General features: G+C 35.8%; 1 protein-coding gene across 11 annotated transcripts in view; it reads right to left on the bottom strand.

The window, feature by feature from the left end:
* Positions 1–12474, bottom strand: part of EXOC4 (exocyst complex component 4) — an 847874-nt gene that overhangs the window by 715289 nt on the left and 120111 nt on the right. For all 11 annotated transcript variants that reach the window (XR_007060126.1, XR_007060125.1, XR_007060123.1 and 8 more), the window contains exon 7: positions 10661–10835. Coding sequence is in view for 3 of the 11 variants with exons in the window: in NM_021807.4 (NP_068579.3) it covers positions 10661–10835 (175 nt within the window). In the remaining 8 variants the exon portion in view is untranslated. The remainder of the gene's footprint in view (positions 1–10660; positions 10836–12474) is intronic.

Raw genomic sequence — 12474 nt, 5'->3', positions numbered from 1 at the left:
ACGACAAACTGTAACAACAGAAAGATCAAAGGGATTAATAACATATAAAAAATCATTTCAGTACTTGAGTGTAAAGTGACAAAGTGTAACTACTCCAAGAATTAACTCACTTGAACAAAGGAGTTCTGTGAAAGACTTGTATTTTCCTAAATGTATCTTGAATGGTCTTTAATGTGATCAAACTGGTGAAATGTTGCTGAATCCGGTAATCACGTAAATATTCTCTAACAAATTAAGAGCAGTAGACAATGAAATACCGGCCTCTATCTTGTGACACAAACCCAAAGACAATGACTTCATGCCAGTGTCTGACTGGTGGGTCTATAAAGGCAAACTTACAAAGTCCACAACGAAGTGGCAGAAAAAAATAGCTGGAAATTCCTTGCCACTCTTCACACTAAATAAATTCTATTTTCCCTCCATTTAAATCTGAGCTACCCAATTGACCAAAAGAACACAGTAGACGTGATACCAAGTAATGCCCCAAGGCCAGGCCTTAAAAGACCTGCAGCCTTCACCCTTTAGAATGCTCTCTAGTTAAAGCTAGCAATCATGTATGAAGTCCAACTACCCTGAGACAACGCTGCTGCAAGGTCATATGGTGAAACAGAAGCCACGTGGAGAAGCGTGATGGTGCCAGATACATAATAAAGTCTTCTTGGACCTTCTAACCAGTCCATGCTGCAGATGCGTGGCCAAGTGAATGTTCTCAGCCAATGCCATGTCAAGTAGAAGCACTGTGCATTGGAGCCTTCATGAATTCCTGACTCACAAAACTATGAGAAATAAAATGGTTGATGTCTTAAGCCACCAAGTTTCTGAAGAATTTGGCATACAGAAAAAAAAAAAAATCAGAAGAACTATCGCTATACTCAAGGATTCAGACATACTCATTGCTTCCACAATCAGAAAACGTTTTTTTTTTTTAAATACGCTTAAAAAAAAAAAAAAGACCAATTCAGGAAAATGTAATTACCTTTGCTCTAAAACCTTCTCAAGTAGGCAAGAGCAATATGTCAGTGAAGGTCATGCCAGTAGCTTTAATTTCACTCAAATCACAGAATGACACTTTCTACATCACACTATTTCACTTCATGCTATTAATCACCACAACTTATTATGGCCTCTTGGATCCTAGCAACATTCTTGCCTTGGCCCAGGTGCACCAAATCTTGATGAGCACACTTAAAGGAGCGGTAGCAGCATGAGTCTGACGGACACTTGGCTTTTAACAGTTCACCCTCTAAAATATCAGACAAAACCAGACAGAGATAAGCTTTGGAGGCAGTGAGGGAGAAGGAAGACCTGCCATTTCTACACCTGTGTTCTCTAGGCCAAGACGTAATGAGGCCCGAGCAGGCCCATCCTAGGTATGTGAAAATTTAAGGAGAACAGCCTTCCTACCAGATCAACCTATTCTGGGGTATCCCCTGCCAAGCTACTATTTTCTAAAGTTTGCCGCAATGTATTCAGATGTCCATGACATTGACATCACACTTCACTATGCATTAGACACCCTAGCACTCTGATTTGGGCATTTGCTACGTCTGTACTAGAAGCCAGAGGAATCTCCCTGGCTGCTCATCAGTTCCTGCTTGAAGAATTAGTAGTGAACATAAAACAACACAGGGAGAGTCCTGGTGCTACAGAAACAAACTCGAATTTAGAAGATTTTTAATTTAACTTGTAAATGTTAATTATATTCTGTTCATTTGGCAGCATATTATCCACTGACGAGACAGAAGAAACATTCTAGGAGCAAGCACTTTTGTGGAGATTCAATGGCCTGGCCAACAACATGACTTCACGATGCCACGCAAAATAGAGGTTATCAAAAAGTTTTATAGGCTGAGAAATGACGAAAAACTATTTCTGCGAGAATACTCTCATACGTTTTCTGGCCTGAAATACTAAAATAGGTTTGTTTTACTTTAAGGTATAGAATCCTCAGGTAACCAAAATATCAAAGTCGACAGAACCTAAGAATAACCTAGTTTCAGACCTGAATTCAAAATAGAAATTACATCTGTCTCCTTGAAAATCCCCTCCAGGTCAAGGATCAGTACTAATAATTTTGTGGATTCTCTTACCTGACAGCAAACTTCAAGCTCTCTCTGCAAGAGGTTAATTTTATCACTAAACATTTATATGGCAGTTAACAAAAGTAAAACGATTTTACATTCTGTCTCCATTAATCTCCAGAAAAAAGAAATCAAGGCACTAAAAAAAGTAAAGTGACTTGTTCTAGGTGTCACTGCTAGTGGTAAACAGTATAATCAGAACCCACTGTCCCCATCTGTAGACACTGCTTAGCATGCCAAGGAGTTACACATTTAAGTCAACAATGGCTAAATCGACAGTTGTGTTTTGAAATGAGATGTGAAAAAAATTTAGATTTTTTACAGAATCATAACGTCTGGAGGATGGGTTTGTTCAAAGTGATCCTCTTCCTTTGCTATGCAGAATTCAACAAGATTGAATATTTTGTATTTCTAGTGTACCTCAGTCTTTTATACACTTGAAAACACACAGCCAACAATATGACACACTTGTCACCAAGTAGGTGTCATTTTGGAAGGTACTGCCGCTGCTCAAAAGGGCAAAAACATGTATTTCTATTATCACAGTTTCAAAAAGAGTGAAAACTGAAAAAGGAGTGCAATGGTGTGTGGTCACAGGGCTGACACCAGGGAAAAACTATAACACCCCGTTACTATGATAGCTATAGCCTTGTCTCCTCACTGTCTGTCTCCAGACAAAAACACGCTGAGACAAATGAGCCTTCCAACTAAAGGATGGGTTCTGGCTGCCAGGGAAAGCCCAAGTTGCAGTGGAAAAAAACTGCTGAAGTCATTAAAAGATCAAAAAGTATTCTCTCTTCCAAGAATTAATTTACTATACAAAGAATTTAATATACAAGGAACATTTCAACTTTTCAGCAGGAAATGTTTTCCATTCAAAGAAATACAGAAATTTGAACTCTAAACACTTATAACTCTATTCATCATAATATCCCATCATCTTCATTCATGCTGTTACATATTTAACTAAAGGCTTCTAGTATTCTGTTGAATTATTTTGTTCTCCAGGAATGATTTCTAACCTAAAGAACACTCCTCCAACAAGTACATGAAAACTAAATCAGCCCCATGTGTAAAACTGTACATAGAAACTTAACCAAAAATCTTCATCCTAAACCCTCCATATAAATGAACATTAAATATTTCCCAGCCAGGGGTCTCTGGTGTTCATGTATTTTTTTCTATTCCCCAGTACTCAGTACATAGTTGGTCCCAATAATTTAACACTAAACCATCATTAAAATATCTGTCATACTGGAAACTAGGCTGGCAGATGGACCATATCATCTTACAGATTTTCTAAAAGACTCTGAAAAGGTTTAGAAATCTTCTTCTCCCTTCTTTGTATTCCTTTAGCATACACCAAAGCCTGTCTTGTTTACTTCTCTACTAAACAATACCTCAAGTAATATATGCATAGACTCTCCACTAGCCTACAAAATAGTTTGCCTGTCTTAGTCTCTACCCTCTCTACTCAGTCCTTTTCATTGCTACCACATTAATCTTCCTTCATCTCATCACACTCCAATATAAATCTCCAAAGTTCCCATATTACCTACAGCAAAGGTCCTCAAACTTCAGTGTGCATAAGAATCACCTGAAGGTCCCGCCCCCAGAGTTCTTGTTTCAGTCAATCAAAGGTGGGGATACAAATCTGCATTTTTTAATATGTTCCCACATAATGCTGATGATGGTCCAAGAGGTATACATTGAGAACCACTTACCCAACACAAAGACTTCCAAATACAAGATCCTAAACAAATATATCAGAATCACCTTAGGAGCTGAAAAACAGAATGTAGTCCTTATCCACAGTGACTGTCATAAGGTGTAAGATGGAGCTAAGAATCAATCCCTAGATAAGTCAAATGTGTAACCAGGTTCAGAAACTATTACTGTAAAGATAAATCACAAACCACTTAGATAACCCTAACAGGTTTTCACAACCTGCACCCAAATCTACCTATCCAAGCTTTTCATCAGATCCACAAAATAAACCTTCATTTATGCTAAACTCTTCTTCTTACCTATCCCTGAATATCCTTGTCTATTCATTCCTTTTTTGCCACTTGCAAATACTATCTCATGAGCCTTTCCATCTGCCTGGAGTGCCATTTCCCATCTCCTCTACCTCTACAAATCCTCCAAGGATCAACTCATCATCAATCTCCAAAACCTTTCTTGGGCCATTCAACATGTCTCAGAATAATAACATTACATATTACATCTACTACTCTTCTTACATTCAGCAACATTAGTCTGTCTGTGTGTCTGTGCCATTAGCCATCTAGGTTATTGATGGGTATATAGCTTAATACTCAGTACTGTATAACCTGAAAGAATTCTGAGAGAACTAGAAAACATGGAAATCTAAAAATAATTTAAAAGTTATATAACAATTTTTATTGCATAGCAATTACAAATTAAAATATTTATATGAACCTCTTATTCAAAAATGCTCTATGCTCAAATTTATAGGGCAATAATAAAGATGAGTAGAATACATAGTTAAGAAACAATCAACAGATTAACTCAACTCATGACTAAGGCCATTCTTCCACAACATGCTTAAGAAAAAAGATAAGGGCAGAAAGGTAGATAGTTAAGAGGCGAAGAAAAGTGCGGAAAGAGAAAGCAAGCAAAAATGCAAAGAACACTGCCATATCTTGGCCTCAGAGCAATTAAACAAAATACATGAAATAAAATGTTATTTCTATGTCAGACCTCTCACCTTTCATTAGAACGGTTTCAGTTCTATGTTCTTTCTCTGTCAAATAGCTTATGCCATTGGTACATGTATGCATTAACGTGGAACAGCAACAGCACTGCCAAGTGTATAATTAATGTGGAGACTACAAGTTTCTGAGAGATATAACACATAATTGATACCTCTTTTAGTGTCTTAAATTCATCTTGTCTACTTTCTCTTAAACTATAAAATTTCCAAGGACCCATATTTTAGAAAAATAAAAAAATAAAGATCATAGATCTATGATAAAAATAAGTCATTTCCAAAAAGTAGATCAGTACCTAACAGGCTAGGCCTAGAGGTAAAGGGAGTGGGATATGAGGAGTGACTGCTAATAGATACAAGGTTTCTTTTGGCATAGATGAAAATGTTCTAAAATGATATGATTGTGATGGTTGTACAACTCCATAAATATAATTAAAAAACCACTGAAATCTATACTTTAAATAGGTAAACTTTATAGCATGTAAATTATATTTCAATAAAGCTGTTTAAACAACTCATTCCGTAACTTAAAGACAGAATCCCCAAATCACTCATTTTATTTTATTTTATTTTATTTTATTTTATTTTATTTTATTTTATTTTATTTTTATTATACTTTAAGTTCTAGGGTACATGTGCACAACGTGCAGGTTTGTTACATATGTATACATGTGACATGTTGGTGTGCTGCACCCATTAACTCGTCATTTACATTAGGTATATCTCCTAATGCTATCCCTCCCCCATCCCCCCACCCCACAACAGGCTCTGGTGTGTGATGTTCCCCTTCCTGTGAACAAGTGTTCTCATTGTTCAATTCCCACCTATGAGTGAGAACATGTGGCCAAATCACTCATTTGAAACTACATGTATGAAACGTATAACTCATTTAATATGCCAGAAAAACCTATTTTTAATCTGTAAATTTCACCTGTTAATAACTGATGGAATTTAAAGTTGCTTAGTTCATTACAATCATCTTTATTATGAAATAATGGGTTTCGTTTTCAGCCGTACAGGAATTATATACATCTGACAATTACAAAGTAAGCAGAGTTAGGGAAGACATGATATCTTACTTTGTTTATTATCATAACTAATTCCTCATGGTAGTATTCTAAATAGGATCCTAACAGATTTAATAATTGTTTTCAGTTCAGAACATAAGTAAAAGCCAAAGATGGGGGGGGGTCATAAAAACTTATTCACAAAGTATTTTATGACCTTGCCATAAGTAAAATTACATAGTCCATAACATACTATCTAGGCCTTGATGTATTCAAGTTCTAAATGTCATAGTAGTATAATACAAATAATTACATTTATATATTCTAAAAATGTCTGATGTATTTGTGTAATACTAGCTATTTTTATTAGTATTTCATGGTTATCTCTTTCCATTCTCATACATTTAATTTTATGTTTAAAGTGTATCTTTTAAACCCAAAATGACAAACTTGTATTAAAAGGGGAGAGATACATATTTTTCAAAAGTGCCACTATCAGAAAAGAGAAAAAAAAGACTATAAATGTTCAAGTTTAAAGACAACTAAATGAAACACCTGATTCTAAACTGGTTTCTCTACTGGAGGGGCAAAAATACTGCTATATAGAACATTACTGGGTCAGTTAACAAAACAAGAATATAGACAGCAGAGTAGATAACTTGCTGCCCATTTTTCAAAGAAAAATGCATGTGTGTGTCCATATATACAGAGAGAAAACAGGAAAAAAGTGGTAAAACGTTAAGAACAGCTGAATCCAAATAAAGAGGTATATGGCTCTTTGTACTATTCTTATTCTCACAACTTTTCTACAATTTTAAAATTATTTAAAAATTTTTAAAGTAATAAAATATCATAAAATGCATCTCTTGAAACAGCATGGTTGGGTCTTGGTTTTTTTTAAATCCAGTATGATCTCTGTCTTTCAACTGGAGTATCTGGTCGATTTATGTCTAATGTAATTATTGATATGGTTGGTGCTAAGTCTATCATCTTGCTTTTGGGTTCTATTCATCCTATCTTTGTTTTTTATTGTTTCTTTCTTCCTTGTTCTTTTTCCTCCTTTCCTTTCTTCTGGATTAATCAAATATTTATTCACTGTTCAATTTTATCCCCTCAACTGGCTTCTCAGCTACGTATCTATCTTAGAATTTTAATGTTTGCTCTAGGGATTGAAATATGCATCCTTAACTTATCATAGGCTACCCTAAACATTATACCTCTTCATGAATTATATAAGAAATTCACAACAGCATAGTATCATTTACCCTACTCCCATCTTTTGTCTAATTATTGTCATATATTGCCTTCCAAAATATATTATAAAACCCACATACACTATGATTGTTTTTGACTTAGAAATTTTAAAAATTCTTTTAATAAAAATAAATCAAGAAATGTGGGGGGGAAAAGCATTTTTTTTTTTTGTCCACATATTCACCATTTCTGGCCCTATTTACTTTTTTCTGTAGATCTAAGTTACCATCTGGTATTATTTTCCTTCAGCCTGAAAAACTCTTTTTTTTTTTTTTTTGAGATGGAGTCTCACTCTGCCGCCCAGGCTGGAGTGCAGTGGCGCGATCGCAGCTCACTACAACCTCCACCTCCCCAGTTCAAGCAATTCTCTGCCTCAGCTTCCGGAGTAGCTGGGATTACAGGCGCCAGACACCACACCCAGTTAATTCTTTTGTATTTTTCATAGAGACAGGGTTTCACCATCTTGGCCAGGCTGGTCTTGAACTCCTGACCTCGTGATCCACCCGCCTCGGGTTCCCAAAGTGCTGGCATTACAGGCATGAGCCATCGCGCATGGCTGAAAAACTTTCTATAACATTTCTTTAAGTGAAAGTCTAGTGGTGACAAATTCTTTAAGTTTTAGTTCATTTGAAAATGTCTCTATTTCAGCTTCATTTTAAAGAATATTTTCGGTAACACAAAATTCTAGATTGACAATTTTTGTTTCTTTTCAGCATTCTTAGATTGACATACATTGATTTCTGGCTTGCATTGTTTCTGATGAGATGTCACTGATAATTTTTATCACTGTTTGCTTGTAGGCAATGTGTCTTTCTTCCTCTGGCTATTTTTAAGAATTTTTTCTTTGGTTTTCATAATGTGCGTATGTGTTGATTTTCTTTGTGTTTATCTTGCTTGGGATTTGTTACGTTTCTTGCATCTGTGGGTTTATGTTTCTCAACAAATTTCAAAACTTTTTGGTCACCATTTCTCCTGATATTTTTCTACCCCAATCTCTCTGTCCTCTCTCCTTCTGTACCTGTAAACCACATAATTGTTAAGCTGCATAATATCCTTGAAGATATTATAGCTTTGTTCATTTTCCTTTTGTCTATTTTTTCTCTGTGCTTTGATTTGGATGGTTTACATTGATCTATCCTCAAATTCACTGATCCTTTCTTCCACAGTATGTTATCTGCAGCTAAATCCATCTGGTGAATTTTTCATTTTATTTATTTATTTATTTATTTATTTGAGATTGAGTCTCACACTGTCACCCAGGCTGCAGTGCAGAGGCACAATCTTGGCTCACTGCAACCTCCACCTCCTAGGTTCAAGCAATTCTGCTGCCTCAGCTTCCTGAGTAGCTGGGATTACAGGTGCCTGCCACCACGCCCAGCTAATTTTTTTGTATTTTTAGTAGAGACAGGGTTTCACCATTTTGGTCAGGCTGGTCTTGAACTCCTGCCCTCAAATGATCCACCTACCTCAGCCTCCCAAAGTGCTGAGATTACAGGCGTGAGCCACCACTCCCTGGTGGATTTTTCATTTTAGATATTTATTTCTATCAACTTTTTCATTCTGGTTAAGAGTCACATTTTCCTGCTTTTTAACAAGCATAATAATTCTATGCTAGACATTGCAGGTGCTTTGTTATTGAGAAACTGAATTATGTTGTCTTACTTTAGAGAGAGTTTTGTTCTATCAGACAATAAATTTACAGGTGGATCAAGATGATAAAATAGAGGCTTGGTTTGGGGCTTTGCTGTATGAGATCTATAGTAGCCTGTCTTCTACTCCTAGAATAGCCCTACTCATAAGGTGTGACCTTTCTGAGGTCACAGCTGAAAGCACAGTATGTTCAGCAAGCTTTCCCCACACTGGCTGGTCTGAGCTCCAACACTGCTGAGAAGTTTCCAACTTCTGAAATCTTCATTCAGCTCACAGTCCCACAGTAGTTGTTTCCTGCCAAGCCTTGTGGTGTACACAGCTTCATATCTGACCAAAGGGCTAATAGTTTGGAAAGTATTCACGAGGAAGATGCAGGGATGAAGGTAAAGCTCACCTAGTGTGTTCTTTTTTCTCAGCTGACTGTGCTGACTACCTAAGTTGCTTACAGCAAAGGGTAACTTCATCAAGATGAGAAACAGAAGTCCCTATTTCTAATTATTTTTTATCTAGCTTTAGAATCTATTATTTCATACTTAAACATGGATACGAAAGGCACACATTATTTACATAAGACGGATAAACATATCAACATGCAAAATGTTAAATAACCAGCCTCCAACCCATAAAGATATTTTATTCAATACAAAAATATTCACCAAGCATGTACTACAGGCATGGCAATTGACAAAGCAGTAAAAAGTTTCAACCAATATTATTTCTACTGAACCACCAGTAAAGCATATACACTGTACCAAAAGTTGTCTAATGAATGAAAAACCAGGAATCAATCCATTCAATCCACCAAGAGCATGTCTACATTCTAAAAAATGACTATAATTTACATTCATGATTTACTTTTTTCTGCAAAGACTCTTATTTGCCATGCAAGTAATTTCATTCCTACACAGTTCCATTTTCCAATTCCCCACATATACTTAATTTTTTTCATATTAGCAGAAACTATCTAACTAAGTTACTTCTATTTAGTTATGTCAAAGCTTGCTTCAGCTAACTCTTAATTATATTTCTAATTTCCATCTGGCTAAATCAAATATATTTTGCTCACATATGGAGAAAAAGTATAATACAATTTCTAAATATCATTTCAGCAGCATCATACCAAAGAATAATATTATTCCTCTAATCTTCAACAAATCAAGCAAAGTGATACATTTATACCTCACAGATCTATTCTCATCTCTCAAAATAAGCTCTTGTTCTGTCATATAACCCAATATATGCAAAAGTTGACTGTAAGGAAATAGTCAACAAAATTAAGCTATGTACATGTTTATAAAATAATGCTTAAGAATATTTTAATGTTTTTTACCTTAATATATGACTAATTCCAGTCAAGTAAAGTATACTACGACAGAAAGCCAGACACTATACATATTGAGAATATGCTTCTATTTTTAAAGTCTGCCAAAAAAAAAAGAAGTCTGTTAAAAGGTTTTTTTTGTTTAGACGGAGTCTCACTCTGTTACCCAGGCTGGAGTGCAGTGGTACAATGGCTCACTGCAAACTCTGCCTCCCGAGTTCAAGCAACTCTCCTGCCTCAGCCTCCCAGGTAACTGAGATTACAGGCGCCCGCCACCACGCCCAGCTAATTTTTGTATTTTTAGTAGAGACAAGGTTTCACCATGTTGGCCAGACTGGTCTCAGACTCCTGACCTCAGGTGATCCACCCGCCTTGGCCTCCCAAAGTACTGGGATTACAGGAATGAGCCACTGCACACAGCCTGTTAAAAAGTTTTTTGAAGATAGTAGAAGTTAATGCCATCAGCAACATCACATTCAAATGCAAGCATTACTTTCTCACCCTGTTTATGACTCTTAAGATAGTGTTTTAGGTGGCTTGTTGTTGCTGTTGTTGTTGTTATTCTAAACTGTTACTCTGAATCAAGATGACACCCTTTGTAAAAGGCTCTTACCTGTAGAACATCTTGGATCTTCACCCATACATCTGCCATATCATACAGTTTGATATCTTCCTGCTGAGTCAGTGGAGTCACTACAGTGTCCTGCAGGTATCCCAGGACCACAGAGTGTGCAGCGGCTACAGCATTAAACTTGTCAAACAGTAACTCCAGCAGTTCTAGAAGCAACCTAGTGGCATAAACAAATAAATAACATTTACACATACGTACACGCAGATAAATGGCTTACAGTGACCTGCAAGAAAAACATCAAACTAAAGTAGCATTCTACAATGTAAACAGCATTAACGTTAGATTTCAGCAGATGTGAATTCAAACAACTGTATTATCTAAGCAACTTTTAAAAACTTATCTAAGCCTCAGTTTCCTCTGCTATAACATGTAAATGATGTAAGAATTTTAAAAGCAATTGTAAAGCCCCTAAACCAGCAATAGCATCTCAATAAACATATGTTGCCGTTTTAACATAGTTCACGGATTACAATACTACTACTATGTATTCATACAGGCAGCTTCTCCAAGGAATTCATGTAATTTTTTCAGACAACAGCTCAGATGTTACACAGAATATGCTATTCCCTAGCAATAAATTAGGCACTTTGATAAGGATATTAATCCATTTAGTCATGGAAAGCTATGCTTACTACCATCCAAATGTACAGCCTGAGTTGCCTGAAAAAAAAAACATACACCTGCCAAGCAATCTGACTTTCACCACAGGGAGAAGCTCAGGCATCCACATTATCTCATTCATCACAGTGAGATATGCTGGACACATATTATTACATCAATTTTATATACTCAAGGACACAAAATAAGGTTGCAGTGCAGCTAAGCCTAGAACAAAAGTTGATTTCCATGTCAGTACATTTAGCCACCTACCTTTCACTACAGCTCTAGAATAGATAGCTCAAAGATTTATGGCATAGATGCAAAATAATTCCTCTACCACTGAGACTTATAGTTTCAATGATCACACAGGCCTGGAATCATCTTTTCTTCCTCTGAACTTGTATACTCTTTTGTCTGCTTTTAAGGAACTTATCACATGAGCCTCACATATGCTGCTCAATAAATGTCAGTCATATTTCTTTATATATAGATACTTTACCTCACTTCTCCATTATTAATCTTTCAGAGTAGGCACTGCTTTATACATCTCTGAATACTTAAGAGCACTTAGAACAATAATTAGCAAATACTGCTGAATGAATTTAATGTGTATAGCATGAACAAGTACAGAAAATCTTGCAATGTGAGCTTTATTGTATATTTTGTGGCTCTCAGCTTGTAATTCCTAAATAGACTGATAAACCAACTTGGAAAGTTGAAAAGGAAAGCAAAAGAGCTTGTCAGCAGTGTCAATTAACAAGGTTTTATTACCATAAATAAGGGGTTATAACTACAATCTCATCCAAACATACAACATATTATCTATTCCTATGGCTTCTTTACTGCCTAATTATTGTAATTAATGTGACAATGAGACAGCCCATAACTATCTTATGGTAAAACCCTAGTATCTATTTGACATTGTAATTCAGATGAGACAAAATCAATAGAATTTATGTAGTACTCCCAGCCTAGACTATACATATATAATCCAGAAGTTACACATTGTATTTATAAATAGAAGCCATTCTACCTTTTGATTGATGATTCTTTTTAATCCTTAAAGGTCAAATTCATATTTATACTCACATATATCTAAAATAATTCTTCTTTCTCATCTGTGTTACTGAAGAACTACTCAAATATTAGCAAAGATACATACAAAATACAGAAACATGTGTCTAAACATACCAACT

The sequence above is a fragment of the Homo sapiens genome, chromosome 7, assembly GCF_000001405.40.
Source record: "Homo sapiens chromosome 7, GRCh38.p14 Primary Assembly".
Lineage (NCBI taxonomy): Eukaryota > Metazoa > Chordata > Mammalia > Primates > Hominidae > Homo > Homo sapiens.
The sequence above is the reverse complement of the archived record's forward strand: the minus strand, read 5'-3'. Positions and strand labels throughout refer to the sequence as shown.